Source organism: Homo sapiens, chromosome 2 (assembly GCF_000001405.40).
Source record: "Homo sapiens chromosome 2, GRCh38.p14 Primary Assembly".
In the NCBI taxonomy this organism is placed as follows: Eukaryota; Metazoa; Chordata; class Mammalia; order Primates; family Hominidae; genus Homo; species Homo sapiens.
In genome coordinates, this window is record NC_000002.12 from 135,921,023 (window position 1) to 135,947,840 (window position 26,818).

At 37.3% G+C, this 26,818-nt stretch overlaps 1 protein-coding gene and 1 long non-coding RNA gene across 3 annotated transcripts in view; both read right to left on the minus strand.

The window, feature by feature from the left end:
* Window positions 1-26,818, minus strand: part of DARS1 (aspartyl-tRNA synthetase 1) — a 79,804-nt gene that overhangs the window by 15,142 nt on the left and 37,844 nt on the right. For both annotated transcript variants that reach the window (NM_001293312.1, NM_001349.4), the window contains 5 exons: window positions 22,356-22,458; window positions 12,888-12,968; window positions 11,761-11,820; window positions 3,365-3,476; window positions 1,762-1,896 (listed from right to left, as the gene is read on the minus strand). In NM_001293312.1, the coding sequence (NP_001280241.1) occupies window positions 1,762-1,896; window positions 3,365-3,476; window positions 11,761-11,820; window positions 12,888-12,968; window positions 22,356-22,458 (491 nt within the window). The remainder of the gene's footprint in view (window positions 1-1,761; window positions 1,897-3,364; window positions 3,477-11,760; window positions 11,821-12,887; window positions 12,969-22,355; window positions 22,459-26,818) is intronic.
* LOC124906078 (uncharacterized) lies at window positions 4,091-11,756 on the minus strand. The gene is made up of 2 exons (XR_007087246.1): window positions 9,460-11,756; window positions 4,091-4,805 (listed from the first exon to the last, which is right to left on the minus strand). It is a non-coding gene; the product is annotated as an uncharacterized LOC124906078 (long non-coding RNA).

The following is a 26,818-nucleotide window of genomic DNA, read 5'->3' on the forward strand; positions in this document are numbered from 1 at the left end:
TGTGATGTGAAAGATGAGTCGAGCTAGAGTCAGGAAGACTGGACAGGAGGAAAAGGCACTGAGGATATTAAGAGCCATTAGCTCAGTCCAGCTAATATCCAGTCCAGCCTTAATATCCTCAGTGCCTTTTCCTCCTGTCCAGTCTTTTTGACTCTAGTTCGACTCATCTTTCACATCACTAATATTCCTATAATACATCCTTGCTCAGAAACTTACAATGGTTCCCAAATGACTACTGTAGTAAGACATAAAATGACCAAAAAAACCCTAAAACCTTTATGCTTTCGTAAGTTAATCCTAACCTATATTTCTCACTTCTTAATACTAACTTGTCTTATTTTTGTTTTCTTGTGTAGTTCTTGCTCTTTACTTACTCTGCTTCCTGTCTAGAACTCCATCTCTGTTGTCTATATATCCTACTTTGTCCTTAAAGTACATCTCAGTTTGAATTTTCTTTTATGGTGACTCTAGCAAACTCCATTTTCTCTCTTTTTACAGTTACTATTTATACTACATAATTAACACCCATTTGCTGATGGTATAGGACAATCTGATCATTCATTGTGAAAATTATTTGATTATTCCCTATGACTGTGATATGTATGTATGTCTTAGTCTTGGGAGCAGGCACAATATTGATTCCCTTATCACTCAAAGCATGATCTGGAAATGAGCAGCATCAACAATACCCAGGACTTGTGAGAACTGCAGAATCTCAGACCTCTCCCCAGATTTACTGATCAGAATCTGTATTTTAACAAGATCTCCAGGTAATCTGTGTGCATATTAACATTTGAGAAGTGCTGGCTGGTTCTTCTTTTATGTACATGGTACCTAGCACAAGGTTATATAAGCAGCAGGTGTTCAACAAATAACTAGTTAATAAATTCAGAAAATTAAGACCCTTAATGATCTTGCCAGTTTCTCTATTAGCAAGTATTTAATTTTTATTAAGGTATCAAAAAACATATATAAAATAACTTGGTAAGTGTTAAATAAAGTAACGCTGGCTTTTCACTTACAATTAGCTTCAAAAAAGAATTTGCCACATGATTATGTGCCTGTGCTTGACTTTTAGCAAACATTTCTTAAAAACCATATTAATATAATTTATTAAATATAACATATTTGTTAGTAGTTTCTAATGGACATCAGCACATTACCAATAGTAAGGACAATACAAACAAAATAGTGAAACAGAACAGCTCTGGAATAAAATTGATAGCAAATTAGACAGAGGTACACTGTAAACTTACAGGAGTAAGAAATTATAAAGGACAAAAACATATATTTCTTTGACCACTGCAACTACCTGCTCTTCAGTGCTGATAGGGAGCTGAAAAGAGTCCAAATGGGAGCTAATTCTGTTCTAACTGCACTGAGGTATATTAAAATATATACTTAGGTATATTTCAGATGGTGTATATTTTCAAGAAACGCATTTTTAAAATGACATATTCTCAAGATAAAAATTTTCTTCAGCATTCCTCTGTAAGAATACATATGTTTATAATTGTATTCACATGGAATGATGCTCAACTGTTTAAAGTACTATTGACCATATTATTATTACTATTACTTTTAAGAAAATGTCTACCCAAATATATTATCTCTAACTCAAAGTCTAGCATTTGTGTAGTCAGCAGATAAAATAATTTAAGCTTTCAAAGTGTCTGTACATTATATAAGTAAAATGTTTCTAAAATTATAACTGCTGTATAATTAATTAACTTGGATAAAACATAACTGCCAAAATCTTACCTGGTCCAATAGAGAAAACCTTCTCAAAATCAGCACAAATGCACATTTGCTTATATAGCTGTGGGGACTGAGCCAGGTATGCATTATTTTTAAAATATGACACAGTAAAAACATTGGCTCCTCCTTCACTGGCAGCTGAAAGGTAAACATTTATATTTATATTATTATAATCAATTGTAAACTTATCAATGCAAACCTCTAGTTAAAAAGTTTATACTCAGGTAACTCACTTTAACAAAAACTGGAAAATGAAGAATTGTGGCTAAATCACAGTCTATATACATCATCTTCTATGTGATTCTAAATAGTTTATATTTAAACCAGATTTACTTCTTTGGCTATGCTTTTATTTCACTTCTGTGGATATATATGCTCCCTTTCTGCATCAATTTCAAAACTATTAAAGCCCCTTTGGAGTTGTTAAAATTTTTTTTTTAAAATGAAAAAATATATTCTTCATCATTTTTCCTCTTTTAAAAAAATTTCCCCAGGAGCTGGAATAATCATTCTTCTTTTCTTTTTTTGAGATGGAGTCTTGCTCTGTCACCCAGGCTAGAATGCCGTGGCACGATCTCGGCTCACTGCAACCTCCGCCTCCCAGGTTCAAGCGATTCTCCTGCCTCAGCCTCCCAAGTAGCTGGGACTACAGGCGTCAACCACCGCGCCCGGCTAGTTTTTGTATTTTTAGTACAGACGGGGTTTCATCATTTTGGCCAGGCTGGTCTCGAACTCCTGACCTCGTGATCCACCCACCTCGGCTTCCCAAACTCCTGGGATTACAGGCATGAGCCACTGCGCCCAGCCTGGAATAATCATTTTTCTAATTATTAAGAATGCAATGTTCAATTGTGAATTTGTAACAAAATGCCATTTGTAACACACTTTCTAGTGTTAAACAAATCTAAAAAGGGTAAAATGATTAAGACAAGATTCTCATACAAGAATAAGAATTAGCCAGGCGTGGTGGCTCACATCTGTAATCCCAGCACTCTGGCAGGCCGAGGCAGATGGATTACCTCAGGTTGGGAGTTCGAGACCAGCCTGACCAACATGGAGAAACCCTGTATCTACTAAACATACAAAATTGGCTCGGCGTGGTGGTGCATGCTTGTAATCCCAGCTACTCGGGAGGCTGAGGCAGGAGAATCGCTTGAACCTGGGAGGTGGAGGTTCGGTGAGCCGAATTCACAACACTGCACTCCAGCCTGGGCAACAAGAATTAAGGAAATTTTCCCATCATTAGTATTTACTGATTTTACAATGCAGTTTATACAAAACAAAACTGCAATACTAATTTCAAAAGAAATCTATATAATGAAAGTAGTTCCTGGTGTAAGTTCTGTAACAAGAATCTTGCTTTGTGTGTTACTGCCTCACATTACAATCATTATCACAAAAGGACTCCTGGAATAAGAAAATGTACTTATTAAGGTTGGTGATATATGATTGTTGCTATATAAGATGGTCTTCAAAATAGTAGTCTCATGGCAATAAACCTTAATGGACACTTGGGATTCTCAAGTTAAAAATTTTATTAATATAAAGCAACTCTGGGGAGAGCAAATTTATTTTTAAAAATTAAGAGAAATATTTTGAAGCATACCTGAAATAATTTTAGGAGTTTGGATTTCCACAAAACCTTTGTTAATTAAAGTTTCTCGGAAGAGATGGCAGATGCCAGACTGGAGACGGAAGACTGCCTGACTAGTTGATGTCTAGAAGACAGTAATAAAATCTAATTAAATCAACGTACTTAATTACTAAGCACTAACTCTGTGGGCTAGGCACTGTGGAAACCTAACAATTCTTGCTTTCAACATTTTTAAATTCTAATAATTGGAGAGAAGACGAAAGGACACGAATAAATACAAGGCAAAAAGGCATGCTGGAATACAATGACTATATATGATCATATAAAGGAATTTCACCGGAAATCCTTAGTGAGCAGATGTTTTAATTTGTAGGAATTCCATAAAAGAAAAATGTTTCTTAACAATTAGTGAAACAACTTACTTGTGAATGGTCTGTTTTTTTTAAAGGCAACCAACCCATAAAGTGAGACATAGCAATGTTTGTGCAGCATACTAATGTTCTAAGTAAGATTTTGGTATTTGACAATAAATGAATAAAAACCATGTATTTTTATTTTAACCATTACAACAATACAATTGCAGATACTTGTGTATTTGTTCAATTAGATTAAGAAATTAAAAAGAAAAAAATACAATAAAAGGGGTAGGCATCCCATGACACTGATTTCCAATGTGGTACATAAAACAATAGTAGCGCTCCAACTGTGCAGCACAGTTGCCTGTTCTTTCTATTCTCTCTCTTTCCCTCCTTTCTTTCTCAGTTTCTCTGGTCCTCCTATTTACTTTTAGCCTCAATCAGTTGTGATGGTGACCAGAAAGCTCTAGAGGTAATTATCTCTACTTTAGACTAACTTTTGTCCACTTCTCTGGTCAAAAGAAGTGACTTCTTATCTTTAGGTCCTGGCTTATTATATTTTTAAAAAATAGCTATCCTATGACTAGGTAGGTGTTTAGTAAAACATGTGACCTCAAACCACTAAGTTAGCTGTGAATAACTGAGTTAGGTGAAGAAGGTGTCTTCTTAGTCTCATTACGAGAATTTCAATTACTTCTCCCATATCAAAGGGCTCACCCCTTCTGCATTTACACAGTAGTACCCTGTGAAAACACTGTTAATGGAATGATTACATTTCTTTCACTCTAAAGAATGATATTTAAATAATCTTGAATTTCTGCAGATCAGATAAAAACATTCATGTAAACTGGTCATATTTAAGTAACATTATTTTATAACTTACATTCAAAGTTACAAATCAATAGTTTCTCATAAAACAATAAAACCATTTCAAAGGTCTTTATAATTTATTAGATTACTTACTCATTTTCAAGATGTCTACATTTAAACTATAGAAAAAGACTTGCATTTTTTTCACATTATGTGGTTTAGTGAAACGTCTGGTTCATCCAATCAAAACAAATGGCATAATCTTCTGCTTTCAAAAGCCTAGTGACCTATTTAGCAAAAAGCTGTTTCACTGTTACTGACAAATGTACAGAGATGTATTTCACTTAGAATATATTCTATAAGAGGGTCACTGAATACATTTTATTGCCGCTTGCCTCTTAGCTAGTTCAACTAAACCTGGCTCACTGCAACCTCCACCTCCTGGGTTCAAGTGATTCTCCTGCCTCAGCTTCCTGAGTAGCTAGGATTATAGGTGCCCGTCACCATGCCCAGCTAATTTTTGTATTTTTAGTAGAGACCGGGTTTCACCATGTTGGCCAGGCTGGTCTTGAACCCCTGACCCCAGGCGATCTGCTCATCACGGCCTCCCAAAGTGCTGGGATTACAGGTGTGAGCCACGACGCCTGGCCTAAACTCACTTCAACATCTTGCTAAATGGAAATTAAACTTATGAACTGGTTGTCATAGATTATTTAATATGAATAGAAATTTCACCATTATGTTTTTAAAAAACTGTACTTCTTCACTTCCTGATTGTACAAACAACTATGTTAATGTGTAACATTTATGGGGAAAACGGATCTGTCATATATAAGAAAAATGATTTTTTTCTCATTAGTTTCTTCAAGGCACTTGCTAATAGGAAGACGGCACCTACTTGATTAGACAGTGAACAGTTATTCACATGACAATTCTAATACATCCTAATTTCCACCTAGGATTTACATACTGGAGAATATTTTCTAGAAGATTCTAGCTTTTAAATGGTTTAATTTGAAAACCACCAATCACAGGGGTAGATGGGAAAAGAATTAAACAAAAAGGAATTACTAAATATAAGATGTTCTTTAAAAGTAAATAACAAGAAAGAAAAACAAATATTTCAAAATACATCTTCAACTATTTTGATTATGTATCTTACTAGCAAGAATACCCATTACTGCAAACAATCACATTGTGCGAGCGAATTCAGACTAGCTATCTCTGCTGGTTGGAACAAGACAAACGGGTAAGATTAGTATCCTGTAAACTCTCTGACTTTGCTCAGAGGAAAATAATGTCCTCAGGCCCAGGTTAGTCAGTTAATTTAGCAGAGGAAGAGTACTAAGCAGACTGCATCAGAGTCTGAGAAACTTTTTGTACCTACTGCTGGGTTGTCTTTCTACATTTCTTCCTCCTTCAAAAAGCATTATCATTACATGAGAGAACAACACAATATAGTTAAAATAAGAAATGGTAATGGTATTTTTTCTTCTCCTGATCAAAACAAGACACTCTTGCGTAGAACACATCTAAAGAGAAACAAAATCGGTTTTTTATAGACTCATTTTAAAACTGTTTCCCCATTACATATTGATTACTACAACTGACTTCTACACGTGTGTAAGAATTTGACGGTTAAGGTAAAAATCAACAATGATCCAACTTATCAGTAAGATTACAGAATGTATATAACAAAAGAAAAGTATGTTTAATAGGGTAATTATATATTAAATCTATCTCAAATTAAATGCTTCTAAACTATAGTACATAAAATGAATGCAACATATGTTAATTTCAATGCAAATATATAACAACCTTATTTTCAACTGACAAGGAATGTACAAATACCTTATATATTTAATTTATCATTACTATACTTACCCTTACCTTAAGATACCTAAATGAACAGGAAAAAGGCCTTCTTTATCATTTAAGTTATAAACCATACTAATAATATTAGTTTCCTTAATGTTTAAATCTAAAAATTGTTTTGGGTCAGACAAATATTTTAATGATTCCATAATATGTAAAAAAAATAATACTTCCTCCTCACTCATTAAACAAATATTTATTATATGCCTCCTAGTACTGGGCTAGGTGTTAGATGATAACGGCGATTACAGAGGGCATGAGGTAGAAGATAAACTAAACAGAAAGCAGAAAACTAATTTTTCTACACTTAAAAAAATTAATTTTAGAAAAGCAAAACGAAAAACCCAGTCCTTGAACTTTAGTTCTAAAAAAGCTTGACATTCCTTATATTAAAATAGTACTTTTAAATTCTATAGCAAACTTCCCAAAAGTATGGTTATTAAAATTAAAACACTGCTATTCTGTATTATGTGAAAGATCTGAAATAAAGGGAAAAACAATATTCTGCATTTATAGAATTCCTTTCCCTGAGGTCCTCATAGCACTAAAAAGCAAAATTATATCTTTTGTGGAGAAGAGAGGCAGGTACATGGAGAGAAGTAAGGGTGTTGAGAGAAAGAATTTCGATAGGAGACAAAAATTCAAACAAACCCAAACTTTATACAGCAATCTTTAATAGTACTTAGCGCCTTACAATCCTCACAACAAATTACTTCCATGTTGTATTAGACTTGTAGCTTTTAAAAATACCTATTTAAGTTATCATCTTAGTTAAGATACCCACTATATCTTTTGCTTTTAATGGCTGTAGAGAATTCCTGTTCATTTATGGTTTATCAGGTTACAGAGATACTACTGTGAAGCTGGACTAGGGGTCAGGAGAGATAGTAGAAAAGGCAGTGGGAAAGACATTTCTAAAATGATACCTGATTTAATTCCAAAGGGAACTATTATTTTAAAAAATCAGATTTATGTAGAACTTTTTTTTTTTGTTTTTTGAGATGGAGGACTCTGTTGCCCAGGCTGGAGTGCAGTGGTGTGATTTCAGCCTCCTGAGTAGCTGGGACTACAGGCACATGCCACCAAGCCTGGCTAATTTTTTTTGTATTTTTAGTAGAGACGGGGTTTCGCCATGTTGGCCAGGCTGGTCTTGAACTCCTGACCTCAAGTGATCCACCCGCCTCAGCCTCCCAAAGTGCTGGGATTACAGGCATGAGCCACCATGCCTGGCCAGATTTACGCAGAATTTCTTTTTCCTTTTTTTTTTTTTTTGAGATGGAATTTCTTTCTTGTCGCCCAGGCTAGAGTGCAATGGCGTGATCTTGGATCACTGCAACCTCTGCCTCCCGAGTAGCTGGGATTACAGGTGCCCGCCACCACGCCTGGCTAATTTTTGTATTTTAAGTAAAGACGGGGTTTCACCATGTTGGCCAGGCTGGTCTTGAATTCCTGACCTCAAGTGATCCACTGTGCTCGGCCAGAATTATGTAGAATTTCTAATTGAACAAAAGGAATATCTGTGAGAAAGAATCCAAGCTGTCTGCAATTGCTATTATATTACATATAATAACAACTGCAACAGGGGGATTCCAGCTGTATGTGTTCAGGTTAACTGTGTCAAGACATTCCAACACATATTCATTCATTCTAACGTATGACAAAAACGCTAGCAGATCAAGTATGTATGTCCTATGGAGGGACCCTGTGATACATAGCAGTGCTGAGCATCCTTAAAATGTTTTTCTAACTGATGCATTGGTCTTGAGGTCAACAGTTATGACATCCCTGAGGACACCTCCCCTTGACTATTTCAAAATGTCCAGATCTACTTTCAAAGAACTCCTATAGCTGTGGTGATCAAACACCTATCATTCTCATGGCAGCCCCGAGTCCCCAATTTTCTGCCCACTGCTGACACAAACCAGCATTTCTTAAACTTGTCTTTTGCCTTCTACTATCATTTCTGTCATACTGGGTATCTCTTGTACTAGTACTTAATATTTTCCTTTAAATCACATTTTAAAACTTAACTAACTCTAAGCAATAATATCCATGAAAACATGGATTTTATTTGCTGGTTATATTGTATAGCTATTAAAATAAAAAATGTTCATCTGTTTAACACCCAGAAATCACTGTGTACCTTCAGTGGTAAAGGTACCATACTTGGGAAAACACTGCAAAACCACTGAAATGTCATGTAAGTTTCAATATATTGGCATTAAAACTATATTGCCAGGATAATCTCTTATACTACAAAATTACGAAACTTCTCTTAAAGAGTTGAGATTTTAATTTTTAGTTTGGAAAATATGTATTGAAAGTAATGAGCTAGGCAATGTGTTAGAAGATGGGCTATTGATATTATCTAATTTTTCTTTGTTTAAGCGTTTTGTGGCTTTGTTAATAGAAAGTTTCAGGGAGATATGGCAAATAGGCTTATTTCCAATCAGTTAGTGGAGGCTGCCCTGAGTGCTGTGTGGCTACTTTAAGCTCATCAAGAATATTATGTATATGGTATGTTGTGCCTGACTGGGGGCATTTGCCATGAATGTAATTCTTTTCTCTTGGACAGACTGGTAACTTAAGTCAAGGCAAGTACATGAGTTAAGGGGCTAACAGTCTGTCCAAGAGAAAAGAATGGTGAAGACAAAGGTGACAAATTTCAAAACAAAAATATGTAATTGATAAGATGAAACCACACCATAATAGCAGATACTTTTCATTCATTAACCCACAGGGTCAAAGTAGGGTTCATTAGTGAACTATAAAATATATGCTCAGATAGCTATTTTCTTAATCCCTGCATGCCAAAATAGACCTAAACATTCAGGAAAAAAAGTTACAGAATTACATAGTAGGGGCTATTTGATAGTGTGATTTCAGAGGTAGCATTGAGGATAATGTGGTGTATTAGCAAACAAAGAGAACTTTAGGAATGCCATGGGGTCTCAAGGGTTAGGATGCCCATGAGTCCTGAATTGTCTATCCCCTTGGCATGTGAAACCAAGTGGCAAAAAAGAGCTGATGATTCACCTTTAAAGATGGCTCAGTTTCTATGCTTACCTGGCAACCCAAGGGAGGGCATCCCTATTAAGGAGACCTCACACTACTAGTCTTATCTCCCCAACAAAATGATGTGTTCTTTGAAGATGACCAATACATATTCCACAGTATAAGAAACCTGTAATACGAACATAATAAATATTTTGTAGACTAGCTATAGTACAGGGGGTCTAGATAAAGAAATAAAAGAAATAGACTAATTTTGAACCAACGAATCCATTTGTATTTGGGAAAAGTACTTAAACAATGATTCTCAAGAGGGAAGACTAACATTTACTCCTAGGACAACCTTCACCTGTACCTAAGAGTGAGGTGAAATAAAGGGGACAATTCTGATCTAAAGGGAACTCTCCTGAATAGATTCTGAGAAAACCCTCCTAACAACCTGCTAACCTATGAGGATGAAGCTAATTTGCCGTGCCAATCTGGAATATGAGTTATGTGAGTGCTATGTATGAAAAGGGTGCCAAAGACATTTTAATTCACTTTTCTAGGAATGAAAATTGCTTTAACCTTCTTGGGGGCTGGAAGGTGAAGTATTTTTAATCAGGGCACCTGCCTGTAAAGTTCAGAGAGAAAACCATTCATATACGAGAAAAAAGTCAGGCTACACTAGAACCTGACGGAGGATATATCTTAGAACGTTTGTATTATAGAAGAAGAATGGCAATTTTGCCTTTTATTTCCAAATTCTTTAGCCCTTGACTTTGCTGAGAGTCTATGAAAGAGCTAGTTGGGGACTAAATTAGATAGTAGTTTATTTTTTATTTGTTGAGACAGGATCTTGCTCTGTTGCCCAGACTGGAGTGCAGTGGTACAAACATAGCTCACTGCAGACTCAACCTCCTGGGCTCAAGCAATCCTCCTGCTTCAGCCTCCTGAGTAGCTGGGACCACAGATGCATGCCATCATACTTGGCTAATTTTTAAATTTTTTAAGGAGACAGGGGTCTTGCCATGTTGCCCAGGCTGGTTTTAAACTCGTGTGCTCAAGCATTCTTCCCACCTCAGGCTCCCAAAGTGTTGGGATTACAGGTGTGAGACACTGCACCAAACCAAGACAGTAGTTTAGAAGGAAACGAAGGTGCTTAAAAACTTAAAGTTACTAATGTACACAACATCTCCCAAAATGTAAAGTCAAAGTAAGAGTTAAGCATGTGAACGCTTGCAAGGGCCAAATAACATGAATGAATGAAATGAATGATATTTGCTGGGTGGTGCAGGGCAAAGCAAAAGACAGTGTAAGAATCCTGTATATGTCCTATCTAGCATGCTAGCTCATGTTCCAGATTCTCCTCTTTTTAAGAAGTGCCATCCAGATTTTAATGTGAAAACCCATTTTTCAATGGTGGCAATGAATTTAAACAAAACAATACAACCCAAAACCCAAAAACTCCTCAGGTCAAATTCTAGAGGCACAAACCAATAATAACTTGTGTGAACAACTAGCAAGGGCAAATAAATAAAGAATGATGTCTCACTCCTGTGGCCAACATACATGAAAAACCTGAGGTTTCTAGGTAGTATCAAGAGGACTTTGGATTACTGCTTGCTTTTCATATACAAATTAAAATGGAAAAGGTAGAAGACAAAAAGCAAATAATTAGGAATAACATGAGTATATAATAAGGGTAGACTCACATGATGGTAGAATAGCCAAGAAGAACTCTTAAGGTGACAAAAAATTTGAGCTTGAGTAGAATATTTAAGTAAAAAAGGAAGATGTGGTCAAAATATTAAGAAAGATGCAATGGTTTTACTACAACAATGATGAAACCACTAAACTCTCTTTCACTTGCAACCAAACCAGAAAGGGAAACAGAAGACCCATGAGACTACTGCATAAACCACCAGAGCCAACTGCTTCTATATTTTTAATTTGGTGCTCCAATCAAATTCAAAGGATTGAAGCATTAATTACTCATCTCCACCTGGTTGATCTCAAATGTGCATGTAATTTTTTTCATAACTTTGTAGTGATATTAAAGGTTATGTTTCTACTTGCTGAATAACTTGTCTAAAAAAGATATCACCTGGAAGCAAGATCATTTACTGGCTTCAAATTCATTTGTCATTTTAAAACAAAGAAAGTCAATATCCTGTTAACTAGTATTTAACCGCTCCTGTTGCCTGCAATTCTTTTTAGGGGAAGGGTCAGTCAGAAAAGGAAATTGTTTCCTGTATTATCATACTTACAGTCAGGCAAATACCATTTAGCTTTATAAGCCTGAGACAGGTATGGTATCCCTGCCCCTCTCTAATGCGGCATAATTGCTTCACTTAATAAATAAATGAGGCATACCCTAAGATCAATGACTCTGTTGTCTAATCTTGTATCCTGGTTAACAGTAGCTCTTCCTTCCTAAAAAAAAAAAAAAAGAAAAGAAAAAAATAAATTTTACTAATATTTTGAAGAGCACAAAAAATACTTTTAGAAGCCATGTTTACTTTTAATTGAGTAGGATGTGTGTACGTTAATATTATGCCCGAAAATCAGATAATGGTAGAAACACAAAGTGCGGCCAGAGAGAAGTTAGCGTTAAAAGAGAGATGGAAAGAAGACAAAGAATGAACAGATATTAATGGTTCTTTCCCTCCTCCACCCCTCAAAGCCTTGCCTCATTATTGGGATATAAGAAAAATTAACCACCCACTTCTTCATTGATTCCTGGATTTAACCTGCTAGCCCAAGGTTGAAGGAACAGATAAAAGCTGACATAGAGTAGTGGTTCTGAAAATGTGGTCTGGGGAGCAGTGAAGGTCCCTGAGACTTTCCAGAAGTTGATGAAGTCAAACTTACTTTTTCATAATAATACTTTTTGTTTTTCACTCTTCATGAGTATACTGAGCAGTCTGCTAAAGATTCTATGATGTGTATTATCACAATAGAATGAATGCAGAGGCAATATGAGAATCTAGTTGTCTATTAAGCCAGAAATCACAAAGAATTGTGGTTATATAAACAGAATGTCATCCGAAGGATGAGGGAGCTGAGTGGTTAAGGCAATGGACTGCTAAATACAATGTCACTCTTAACAATAATTATTTTTTGCTTTGGACAACTGTAATTTTTTCATAAAATGTTATTAGCTTCATTATTTACATAATACTACATATGCAAACATGTATGCAATGTATATATAATTTTTAATAAAGTAATAAATATTTAAAAATGTTTTAATTCCCAATACTGTAAATATTGATATATATACCAATAAAAACAAAAGCTTGTAGGGTTCTTAATTATTTTTAATAATGTAAAAGGCAACTCGATACCAAAAGGTTTGAGAATTGCTGATTTTAAGAGTAAGTTTAAATAACAATGGAGCTCAAAATCAATTCACAGACACCCTTAGTACATCAGGTTTTCAATGTTTTGCAAACTAAATATACAGCGGAAGCATAATATTTCATAAGTATAATTTTTACCTCTTCTCCTTCTGCCTCAGGCCGAACAGCATCATCCAGCTGCAGGGGCAGACGGGGTTCAGCCAAACTGATCACATAAATCTGTAAGTGAGAGATTACCAAAAATAGTAGAAAGCACACAAAATCTGCATCTTTTTCTTAAAAAACAATCTACAGTTGACTTAAGCATGAAGCAATGTTTGCATACATCTTTAATTGAAACTACTTGCTGAAATCAAACAAGATGATACAGGTTTTTTCACCTTGATGATTTGTTTAAAATGGGGATAATAATATTTTTTGCCTACCTCTATGGTTGTTAGAACAGTCAAATAAGGTAACATATATAAAAATTATTTGTAAATTTTAAGATGCCTACCAATGTAATAAGTAATGACTGGGGTGTAGGCACTGGCTTACGGTCTAGCTATGTCAAAAAAGCTATGGTTAGGGGTTGGTGCTGTGGCTGACACCTATAATCTCAGCACTTAGGGAGGCTGTGGTGGGTTAATCACTTGAACCCAGGAGTTCGAGACCAGGCTAAGCAACATGGTGAAACCCCGTCTCTACAAAAAACACAAAAATTAGCCAGGCATGGTGGCACGTGCCTAAAATCCCAGCTACTTGGGTGGCTGAGGCACAAGGATCACTTGAACCTGGGAGGCAGAGGTTGCAGTGAGCCAAGATCGCACCACTGCACTCCAGCCTGGGTGACAGTGAGACCCTGTCTCAAAAAAACAAAAACAGAAACAAAAACAAACATAAACACAAAAAAGCTATTGTTAGGGAAATCACTTAATCTCAGAGCTTCAATTAAAATAAAGCCTGCTATAAGAATCAAACAGAATAATAAATGTGAAAACACTTTACTCATGTGAAGGAGCAATTAACATATGACTTGCTATCATTTTTTTTTTTTTTTTTGAGACGGAGTCCCACTCTGTCACCCAGGCTGGAGTGCAATGGTGTGGTCTTGGCTCACTGCAACCTCTGTCTCCCGGGTTCAAGCGATTCTCCCACCTCAGCCTCCTGAGTAGCTGGGACTACAGGCACGTGCCACACCAGCTAATTTTTGTATTTTTCGTAGAGACAGCATTTCGCTATGTTGGCCAGGCTGGTCTCAAACTCGTGACCTCGTGATCTGCCTGCAATGGCCTCCCAAAGTTCTGGGATTACAGGCATGAGCCACCACGCCCGGCCATCTTGTTATTTTTAACAGCATTTGGCCAGCGCCACTGCCACTGCCACCACTAGGACCAAATTCAGTCCAGCTCTGCTGCACTTCTTTTCTCATTCTTTCTCCTTTCAAGTACCCCTTCATTGCTCTCTCTCATTAAACATGTTACAAACATCTCATTTCCTGCCAGTCTCCTGGTTAGGAAATGCCCTAGAGGATGTTCCTTTATGTTGTCAAAATCCCTCAATAGGCCAGGCGCGGTGGCTCACGCCTGTAATCCCAGCACTTTGGGAGGCCGAGGCAGGCGGATCACGAGGTCAGGAGATCGAGACCATCTTGGCTAACAGAGTGAAACCCCATCTCTACTAAAAAAAAATACAAAAAATTAGTGGGGCGTGGTGGCAGGTGCCTACAATCCCAGCTACTCGGGAGGCTGAGGCAGGAGAATGGCGTGAACCTGGGAGGTGGAGGTTGCAATGAGCCGAGATCCCGCCGCTGCACTCCAGCCTGGGTGACACAGCGAGACTCTGTCTCGAAAAAATAAATAAATAAATAAATAAAAATTCCATCAATATTCACTCACACTAATTTCACATTTTAGTGATAAAAAGCAACTGGGTCATAAAGACTGAACTAGAGTTTTTTGCTTTTTGTTTTTCTGGCTACCTTTAAAAACCATTTTATCATATTAGTTAACCCAAACTATGTCTGGAAAACCTGCTAAAGCACAAACGGGAAAAATACCTTATTTAGTTACTTCAGGAAAGGGAATTATACTCTTCTAGTTGGCAGATCAATATTGGCATTCAGCTTAGATACTCCAAGAAATAGTGTAGGATACTCTAGTATTCCTTATTATAAAATAGAACTATTTGTCACCACTCCCTAAACCCAAATTCTAGGATTCCCTTTGACAAGTTAACAGAAACTTCATCTCCAATCCAAACTGGAGAGCTGAAGAGCTGCTACTTCTACTTTTATAACTAGTGGGAATTCATCATCCTCTTTACTAGACCATGAGTACTCTGACCCCAGAGTCTTCACATAGTGCTTGGCACAAAGCACCTATCAACAGTAACTGCTGGCTGAATAAATAAATAAGTGATAAAGCAAAGTCACTACTTATATAAGATTCTACTTAGTAGGTAATACTTCATGCTTTGTGAAATACTTTATTTTTATTATGGCAAATTCTGTAAGCTCTTCTGGCTTAAAATTTATTACTAATATTTATTAATGTTGCATTGCACACATCTAGACAATAAGAATATCTTAAAACTACATTTGCTTCTAGTAAAAAAACAGAAATATATATATACACACACATACACTTTTTTTTTTTAGTTTTGAGACAGGGTCTTGCTCTGTCACCCAGGCTAGAGCGCAGTGGTGTGATCACAGCTCACTGTAACCTCCAACTCCTGGGGTCAAGTGATCCTCCCACCCTGGCCTCCCAAAGCACTGGGATTGCAGGTGTGAGCCACCACATCTGGCCAAATTTTCTTTATTCAAGTACTGAAAAAGATGTGTTACTTGGAAGATGTGGGAGTTATCTTTCTTGGTCAACATAAATGGGTTTATTCATTTATCTTTATTCTTACTCTTTGGTCAGTTTGTCTTTACTAGGTTACAAACTTCCTGGTGGGGTTGTTTCAAGATGAGACTTACACAAAGACAACAAAGTCATTTGTCAAATTAGGTCAGTAAAAATTACAAGGTTTTGTAAGTCTTGAAGAGTTCCAAGAAAACAGATTCCAGCTAAATACAATGTTACTCTTAAATCAGTAAGTACATATAGGCCTATCTCTGAATCTGTCTGCCTGTTGGTCTGCCTGACTCTTACATATGGTCATGCATGTGCACACGGATCAGGGCGGGAAGAGGCCATGCTGTCTTAAAGACTACTCCTTAAGAGAAATTTAGTGATGTATATTGTAGATACAATCTAGACCTAAATCTGAGCACTGTAGGTTCAAACTGGCAGGGTTATTTCAATAGTACTAAATATGTGTGAATTCACTTATGGTTTTTTTTTGTTGTTGAGATGGGGTCTCACTTAGTCACGCAGGTTGGAGTGCAGTGGTGCGATCTTGGCTCACTGCAACCTCTGTCTCCTGGGTTCAAGCAATTCTCTTGCCTCAGCCTCCTGAGTAGCTGGGATTGCATGCACCTGCCACCACGCCTGGCTAATTTTTGTATTTTTAGTAGAAACAAGGTTTCGCCATGTTGATCAGGCTGGTTTTGAACTCCTGACCTCAAGTGACACTTATGGTATTTTAAGTCAATGATAATGAGCTCTTTCAGTTTTTAATCCTGAGAAAAAAACAGATCAGAGATAAGTCTTCTTTAAAAAAAAAGGAAGCTACTGTTGGAATATAAGACCAATAAGGTACTATTTATTTTGACTTCTCTATGTTGTAAAAAATATCAGAAAAGTAATTATTATAAGACTAAGAATTAGTTAATTAATCATTCTTTAAAAGTACATCATCGTTAGTTGATGCAGTTTCTTCCTAGCATCGACGGTCTTTACAATTTGGCATGTTTTTGCAGTGGCTGGTACTGGTTGTTCCTTTCCATGTTTAGTGCCTCCTTCAGGAGCTCTTATAAGGCAGGCCTGGTGGTGACAAAATCTCTCAGCATTTGCTTGTCTGTAAAGGATTTTATTTCTCCTTCACTTATGAAGCTTAGTTTGGCTGGATATGAAACTCTGGGTTGAAATTTCTTTTCTTTAAGAATGATGAATATTGGCCCCCACTCTCTTCTGGCTTGTAAAGTTTCTGCCGAGATATCAGCTGTTAGTCTGATGGGCTTCCCTTTGCGGGTAACCCGAGCTTTCTCTCTGGCTGCCCTTAACATTTTTTCCTTCATTTCAACTTTGGTGAATCTGACAATTGTGTGTCTTGGAGTTGCTCTTCTCGAGTATCTTTGTGGCGTTCTCTGTATTTCCTGAATTTGAATGTTGGCCTGCCTTGCTAGGTTGGGGAAATTCTCCTGGATAATATCCTGAAGAGTGTTTTCCAACTTGGTTCCATTCTCCCTGTCACTTTCAGGTACACCAATCAGACGTAGATTTGGTCTTTTCACATAGTCCCATGTTTCTTGGAGGCTTTGTTCGTTTCTTTTTACTCTTTTTTCTCTAAACTTCTCTTCTTGCTTCATTTCATTCATTTGATCTTCAATCACAGATACTCTTTCTTCCACTTGATCAAATTGGCTACTGAAGCTTGTGCATGCATCACGTAGTTCCTGTGCCATGGTTTTCAGCTCCATCAGGTCATTTAAGTTCTTCTCTATGCTGTTTATTCTAGTTAGCCATTCATCTAATCTTTTTTTCAAGGTTTTTAGCTTCTTTGCGATGTATTCAAACATCCTCCTTTAGCTCAGAGAAGTTTATTATCTACCGTCTGAAGCCTTCTTCTCTCAATTTGTCAAAGTCATTCTCTGTCCAGCTTTGTTGCGTTGCTGGCGAGGAGCTGCGTTCCTTTGGAGGATAAGAGGCACTCTGATTTTTAGAATTTTCAGCTTTTCTGCATCAACTAACAAGCAAAATAACCAGCTAACGTCATGACAGGATCAAATTCACACATAACAATATTAACCTTAAATGTAAATGGGCTAATTGCTCCAATTAAAAGACACAGACTGGCAAATTGGATAAAGAGTCAAGACCCATCAGTGTGCTGTATTCAGCAGACCCATCTCACATGCAGAGACACACATTGGCTCAAAATAAAGGGATGGAGGAAGATCTACCAAGCAAATGGAAAACCAAAAAAAACAGGGGTTGCAACCCTAGTCTCTGATAAAACAGACTTTAAGCCAACAAAGATCAAAAGAGACAAAGAAGGCCATTAAATAATGGTAAAGGGATCAATTCAACAAGAAGAGCTAACTATCCTAAATATATATGCACCCAATACAGGAGCACCCAGATTCATAAAGCAAGTCCTTAGAGACCTACAGAGACTTAGACTTCCTCACAATAATAATGGGAGACTTTAACACCCCACTGTCAACATTAGGCAGATCAATGAGACAGAAAGATAACAAGGATATCCAGGAATTGAACTCAGCTCTGCACCAAGCGGACCTAATAGACATCTGCAGAACTCTCCACCCCAAATCAACAGAATATACATTCTTCTCAGCACCACATTGCACTTATTCCAAAATTGACCACATAGCTGGAAGCAAAACACTCCTCAGCAAATGTAAAAGAACAGAAATTATAACAAACTGTCTCTCAGACCACACTGCAATCAAACTAGAACTCAGGATTAAGAAACTCACTCAAAACTACTCAACTACATGGAAACTGAACAACCTGCTCCTGAATGACTACTGAGTACATAATGAAATGAAGGCGGAAATAAAGATGTTCTTTGAAATCAATGAGAACAAAGACACAACATACCAGAATCTCTGGGACACATTTAAAGCAGTGTGTAGAGGGAAATTTATAGCACTAAATGCCCACAAGAGAAAGCAAGAAAGATCTAAAATTGACACCCTAACATCACAATTAAAAGAACTAGAGAAGCAAGAGCAAACACATTCAAAAGCTAGCAGAAGGCAAGAATAACTAAGATCAGAGCAGAATTGAAGGAGACAGAGACACAAAAACCCTTCAAAAAATCAATGAATCCAGGAGCTGGTTTTTTGAAAAGATCAACAAAACTGACAGACCGCTAGCAAGACTAATAAAGAAGAAAAGAGAGAAGAATCAAATAGATGCAATAAAAAATGATAAAGGGGATATCACCACCGATCCCACAGAAATACAAACTACCATCAGAGAATACTATAAACACCTCTATGCAAATAAACTAGAAAGTCTAGAAGAAATGGATAAATTCCTGGACACATACACCCTCCCAAGACTAAACCAGGAAGAAGCTGAATCCCTCAATAGACCAATAACAGGCTCTGAAATTGAGGCAATAATCAATAGCCTACCAACCAAAAAAAGTCCAGGACCAGACGGATTCACAACTGAATTCTACCAGAGATACAAAGAGGAGCTGGTACCATTCCTTCTGAAACTATTCCAATCAACAGAAAAAGAGGGAATCCTCCCTAACTCATTTTATGAGGTCAGCATCATCCTGATACCAAAGCCTGGCAGAGACATAACAAAAAAAAGAGAATTTTAGACCAATATCCCTGATGAACATCGATGCAAAAATCCTCAATAAAATACTGGCAAAACAAATCCAGCAGCACATCAAAAAGCTTATCCACTACCATTAAGCTGGCTTTATCCCTGGGATGTAAGGCTGGTTTAACATATGCAAATCAATAAACGTAATCCAGCATATAAACAGAACCAAAGACAAAAACCACATGATTATCTCAATAGATGCAGAGAAGGCCTTTGACAAAATTCAACAGCCCTTCATGCTAAAAACTCTTAATAAACTAGGTATAGATGAGACGTATCTCAAAATAATAAGAGCTATCTATGACAAACCCACAGCCAATATCATACTGAATGGTCAAAAACTGGAAGTATTCCCTTTGAAAACTGGCACAAGACAGGTATGTCCTCTCTCACCACTCCTATTCAACACAGTGTTGGAAGTTCTGGCCAGGGCAATCAGGCACGAGAAAGGAATAAAGGGTATTCAATTAGGAAAAGAGCAAGTCAAATTGTCCCTGTTTGCAGATGACATGATTGTATATTTAGAAAACCCCATCGTCTCAGGCCAAAACCTCCTTAAGCTGATACGCAACTTCAGCAAAGTCTCAGGATACAAAATCAATGTACAAAAATCACAAGCCTTCCTATACACCAATAACAAACAAACAGAGAGCCAAATCATGAGTGAACTCCCATTCACAATTGCTTCAAAGAGAATAAAATACCTAGGAATCCAACTTACAAGGGATGTGAAGGACCTCTTCAAGGAGAACTACAAACCACTGCTCAACAAAATAAAAGAGGACACAAACAAATGGAAGAACATTGCATGCACATGGATAGGAAGAATCAATATTGTGAAAATGGCCATACTGCCCAAGGTAATTTATAGATTCAATGCCATCCCCATCAAGCTACCAAGGACTTTCTTCACAGAATTGGAAAAAACTACTTTAAAGTTCATATGGAACCAAAAAAGAGCCTGCATTGCGAAGACAATCCTAAGCCAAAAGAACAAAACTGGAGGCACCACGCTACCTGACTTCAAACTATACTACAAGGCTACAGTAACCAAAACAGCATGGTACTGGTACCAAAACAGATATAGATCAATGGAACAGAACAGAGCCCTCAGAAATAACACCGCATATCTACAACTATCTCATATTTGACAAACCTGAGAAAAACAAGCAATGGGGAAAGGATTCCCTATTTAATAAATGGTGCTGGGAAAACTGGCTAGCCATATGTAGAAAGCTGAAACTGGATCCCTTCCTTACACCTTATACAAGAATTAATTCAAGATGGATTAAAGACTTAAACGTTAGACCTAAAACCATAAAAACCCTAGAAGAAAACCTAGGCATTACCATTCAGGACATAGGCATGGGCAAGGACTTCATGTCTAAAACACCAAAAGCAATGGCAACAAAAGCCAAAATTGACAAATGGGATCTAATTAAACTAAAGAGCTTCTGCACAGCAAAAGAAACTACCATCAGAGTGAACAGGCAACCTACAAAATGGGAGAAAATTTTCACAACCTACTCATCTGACAAAGGGCTAATATTCAGAATCTACAATGAACTCCAACAAATTTACAAGAAAAAAACAACCCCATCAAAAAGTGGGCAAAGGATATGAACAGACACTTCTCAAAAGAAGACATTTATGCAGCCAAAAGACACATGAAAAAATGCTCATCATCACTGGCCATCAGAGAAATGCAAATCAAAACCAATGAGATACCATCTCACACCAGTTAGAATGGCGATCATTAAAAAGTCAGGAAACAACAGGTGCTGGAGAGGATGTGGAGAAATAGGAACACTTTTACACTGTTGGTGGGACTGTAAACGAGTTCAACCATTGTGGAAGTCAGTGTGGTGATTCCTCAGGGATCTAGAACTAGAAATACCATTTGACCCAGCCATCCCATTACTGGGTATATACCCAAAGGATTATAAATCATGCTGCTATAAAGACACATGCACACGTACGTTTATTGCGGCACTATTCGCAATAGCAAAAACTTGATACCAACCCAAATGTCCATCAATGATAGACTGGATTAAGAAAATGTGGCACATATACACCATGGAATACTATGCAGCCATAAAAAAGGATGAGTTCATGTCCTTTGTAGGGACGTGGATGAAGCTGGAAACCATCATTCTCAGCAAACTATCACAAGGGCAGAAAACCAAACACCGCATGTTCTCACTCATAGGTGGGAATTGAACAATGAGATCACTTGGACACAGGAAGGGGAACATCACACATCAGGGCCTGTAGTGGGGTGGGGGGAGGGGGGAGGGACAGCATCAGGAGATATACCTAATGTAAATGACGAGTTAATGGGTGCAGCACACCAACATGGCGCATGTATACATATGTAGCAAACCTGCACGTTGTGCACATGTATCCTAGAACTTAAAGTATAAAAATAAAGGAAAAGTAAAAATGGAAACTGAAAAATAAAATAAAATAAAAGTACATCATCAAAAAACTTATAGCAAGATAGGTCCATTATTATTCACTTATATTGGTGAGTAGTTTTTCAGATGTGTTTTGTATTTTTCCCTATGTGGCTGTGGTAGACTGTTTGCAAAAATGGCTGCAATACTTCCTCTTGCTCCTGCATGTATATTCCCCTGCAATCATGTTGCTTTTCCTCCCATCAAGGGCTAGAATCTATTTCTCTACCCCTTAAATCTAAGTTTTGCTGTGTGACTTTGACGAGTGGAATATTTAGCAGATGTGACACAAGTAGAAGCTTGAAAAGTGTCTGTTCTTAGGGTTTCGCACTCTTGCCTTTGGGAACCCTCCTGGTACCTGAATATCAACATATCTGGGCTAGCCTGCTGGATGAGAGGAAGCCACAGAAAGAGATGTGCCAGATTTATCAGTGAGCCCAGCCAATGTTGCATGGAGCAGATGAGCCATCTCAGTTGGGTGCATCACAGAATTGTAAGCAAATAAATGTTTGTTGTTTCAAGTCACTAAGTACTGGGGTGATTTGTTATATAACAAAAGCTAATTGATTCAGTAACTAATTTATAAACCTCAGTATTTTACATTAATTAGTAAGAACATATAAATTTGACATGAAAACTATTAGAACCCAAATCTATTTCTATATGCGATTTTATATTTTGAAAAAACTTACCTTCTGAACATGTAACTCAACGTCTTGCTGTGTACAGCTTCCAATTTTCTGATTCACTTTTCTCACAACACCTTCTACATCCACAATGCTCTCTTTGTTGATGCTGTCAAGAGAAAAAATTCCCAACTTGAATCATCTCATCAGAGGTGTCAGAACTCCTCTGGTGTTTCAGCAGTAAAGCTGAATATGTTAAACTCTTTTTTAATACAGTAAGCCACTTGAGATAAAGCCAGTCTATTTAACCTACTTAGAATAAGCTATTACGTAGCATACCTTGTGAGATTCCTTGAAGAGATGATTTTTTAGATGCCATAATTTAGTTACCACTTATAAAATACTCTGGACATAAAAGGTAATAAAACCAGTACCGAATTGGGAAAAGTAGTAAAAAGTCTTTTAATTATTTATTAAAGAACATTTCCCTCCCTATTTTTGAGAATCACTAAGATCAGCATTTCCTATAATGAGAAATACTGGCTTCAATAAATGCAATTACTGGTATGTGATGGAATTAAATAATAGAAGACGGTCAACTGAAAAGATTTTAAGGTAATAAGAGGACATTAGCGTGCTGTTTTGCAATTAAATCCTCACTACCTTTAGCTTCTGAGTATACTCCGTCATCAGATTTATGATTATTGGATTGTGTACTCCCATTTAAAAGGGTGCCTATATGAAGTTTAATATATGATGAGTGTAAAATAAATGCATCTCCTGGACAGCTTATTTTTATAATAACTTGAATTCTGAACACCAGACACTGAAATTCTAAAATACAAAATTTATAAAGTAGCTTATTAAACACAATGATTATTTTTTTAATCACTAGTACATAACCAAGGAAGAAAATGTATACTCCAAAATGGTGATTCCCATACAAAATGTACCAGTTTTACTTTTGTGTATATTCTTGTACTGACAAAGTATATCACAATATAGTTGATGAAAAGGATAAGATTTAATTTTCATGGAAAAATTCTATTCATTCTGATGAGGATTTGGGTCTTTAGTAGTTGTGGTGCAATTAGACATTCCAGAAACCAGACAGTACTTACTTTAAACAAGAGAACACCAGAATCCATTTCAATGAAAAAGGATCAAAATGAGGATAATAGGTGAAGAGTAGTTAAGAAAGAAAATTGTTTATGTCACTTGGCTACACTGCCTAGAAATCTTTATGTCTGTTACCAACTAACTTAAAAAAAAAAAATCAACAGCATGCATATCTCTTGTACTCTCGTAAGTCTCCTGCACTGGGGCTATCACCTAATACCTAGCTAAAATCTTGACTACTGAAGAAACTCAGAATTTATTATGGCAAAAGAAGTAGTTGGTGAACTAAGATAAGGCTCTTCTGAGGCTTGAAGGGATCAAGAGGCTCCAGTGGACTGTTACAAAGTTTTCTAATACTTGCAATCTAGTGTCACTGAACTGAATCTATCTTCAATTTGACTGCCACCTACCAGTAAATGTGATAACTGAGTGTATATTCAGGCCTGGTGAGAATTCTATTGCTTATCTCACACATCTTCACAAGGAAGGTTTTCTCCTCTGTATCGATCAATGTACTGCTTCATCAAGCAACCTGACCTGTCCCAAGTAGAGGTCCACTCTGCTACCTTTCTTCTATATCCCTGACCCCTTGGTCCCCTCGTCTCACAAACTTTGACTCCTATTAGAAGGCATTTGCTGGCCCTCTGCACCTTCCATTATCAGACAGTCTTCTTCAGGCCAACTCAAGTCAAACACATCTACTTTTTTTTTTTTGAGACAGGGTCTTGTCTCTGTCACCTAGGCTGGAGTGCAGTGGCTCCATCTTGACTCATTGCAACCTCCGCCTCCCGGGTTCAAGTGATTCTCCTGTCTCAGCCTCCTGAGTAGCTGGGATTACAGGCATGTGCCACCATGCCTGGCTAATTTTTGTATGTTTAGCAGAGACAGGGTTTCACCATGTTGGCCAGGGTGGTCTTGAACTCCTGACCTCAGGTGATCCACCCGTCTTGGCCTCCCAAACTGCTGGGATTACAGGCATGAGCCATCGCGCCCGGCCCAAACACATCTGCTTTTAAGGACTGAGCGTCATGCTAGTATCCTTCTAGAAAGAAGGTGGAATGTAGTCAAAGATACTCTGCCCAGGGCTGGCTGTAGGTCCAATTAAAGCAAAAAAAAATTCCCTCTTCTTTCTCATTCAAAAGTACCAGATGACTCTTTTAACCCAGGACCTGAAACATGGAACTATATCTACCTTTAGTACTTTAATTTCGTAGTACTGAGTGCTAAAATATTAGATCAGCTAGTCTAGAAAACAACTACCACTTAGAACATTGTTTCCAGGACGAAACAACTTACAAATTAACTTCTGAAACCACAAACTATTTCTTAAGCTAGGGCCAAAGCTATTATAAATTTCTGCAATTACAAATTGTTCTACTGAATCAACGGGAAAGAAGGCAGGATTAATCAGACATAGAGAACAGTTAATTTTTTTTAACCCTTCCAATCTCAGTATTTCCCCTTATTATATGCAGCTGTTAAAAATCATAACCTATTTAGACATTAGTAAAACTATTCCATGATTTTGGACAATTTAGCCCTATTATCTCTATACAGCTACATCTGTATCTACATCCATTTTTGTCTTACTGTAGACATGAGTGAATTCAGAAGAAAAAACATTAAAATCAAAAAGGTTCCATTTGTGAAAAAGGGTCAGACTATCCGAGGGTTTTATGTGTGTATATATAAAATAGAGTCAAAACAAGAGAGACAGGAATACTTGCGTACATTACTGCAGTAGAAGAATAAAATTCTACTGACTGTAGAAAGAGTCTGATTATATGGTTTTAACTGACATTGTATATGAAGATGGCATAATATCTACAGGAGAGGAAAGGAGGGGAGGGGAAGAAAGAAGGGAGGAGAGAGGAGAATGAGGGTACCACTGCTAGCTTCTTTTCATTACTGGAATCCCACAATCTTCCTTCAGAAACCTCACATGCTATAGGTGATATGTAACCTTCTGAGAAGCAATCCAAGTTATGGGTCCAGTGTTTATGTATAAATTAACTATTGGAAAAACTCAAATTCATTCTCATCCTTTTAGATAAAAGAAAAAAGCAGGGAAGAAAGGGTAGGCGGAATGAAGGAAGTTGAATTATTTTCTTTCCCTCAATGGGTAATCTTGAGCATATCACACTTTGGAGAGCACTGGGGTAGAGAACAAGAATCATAAACCCTGAGAAATGGCTACCGTAGATGATCTGAAAATCAAGGGTGAAGGTATAATTTCTGTATAGGAGACACGTGAAAAAATATTTAACAGCACACAACTCCAGTCAAAGAGGTCACCATCTTGCAAATAAATGGAGACATAAATCGGGGGAAAAAGCAGTTTATCTCTTGCTGCTGGGTCCCAGTATCAGGTTTTGACTCTGACGAGTCCTCCTGAGCATATAGAGAAGAATCACTGGGATCAACTCACTGCAAACTCATCTCCTAGGTTCAAGTGACCCTCCCACTTCAGACTCCTGAGTAGCTGGGACTACAGGCAGGCACCACCACGCCCGGCTAATTTCTGTATTTTATGTAGAGACAGGGTTTCATCATGTTGCCCAGGATGGTCTCGAACTCCTGGGCTCAAGTGATCCACCTGCCTCTGCTTCCCAAAGTGGTGGGATTACAGGCGTGAGCCACCATGCCTGGCAAACACACTTTTATTTTTATAGCTCAAATGAAAGTGATTTTAGCCCAGGCACGGTGGCTCATGCCTGTAATCCCAGCACTTCTGGGAGGTCGGGGTGGGTGGATGACCTGAGGTCAGGAGTTTAAGACCAGCGTGGCCAACATGGTGAAACCCAGTCTCTACTAAAAATACAAAAAAATTAGCTGGGTGTGGTGGCGTGGCCCTGTAGCCCCAGCTACTCTGGAGGCTGAGGCAGAAGAATTGCTTGAACCCAGGAGACAGAGGTTACAGTGAGCAGAGATCGTGCCACTGCACTCCTGCCTGGGTGACAGAACGAGACTCCATCTCAGAAAAAAAAAAAAAAGAAAGAAAGAAAAAAGAGAAAAAAGAAAAGAGATTTAACAACTAAATCCCTAAAGTATTATTTCTATTATTTCTTTAGCAATTCCCTTTTATGTTCCAGGTTCTGTGTGAAGTGCTTTAGGTAGACACTATCTCATTTGCGCTTCACAAAGGCCTACACGGTAGGTATTATCAACATTTTACAGATGAGAAAACTGAGACTCTACAAGGTTAAGTAATTAGACTACCATCACATAGCTAATAAGATCATTTAATGATTATTGCACTAGACAGTTCTGTTACAGACTGACAAATTAGAACTAAATTTAAATATCTCAGAATGCATCATCAGCTCACTATGAAATAATACATTTTCATTCTTAGAAGCTCATGAGCTGCTAGATTGCTTTATAGTTTCTGTGAAAAAAAAAAAAACAAA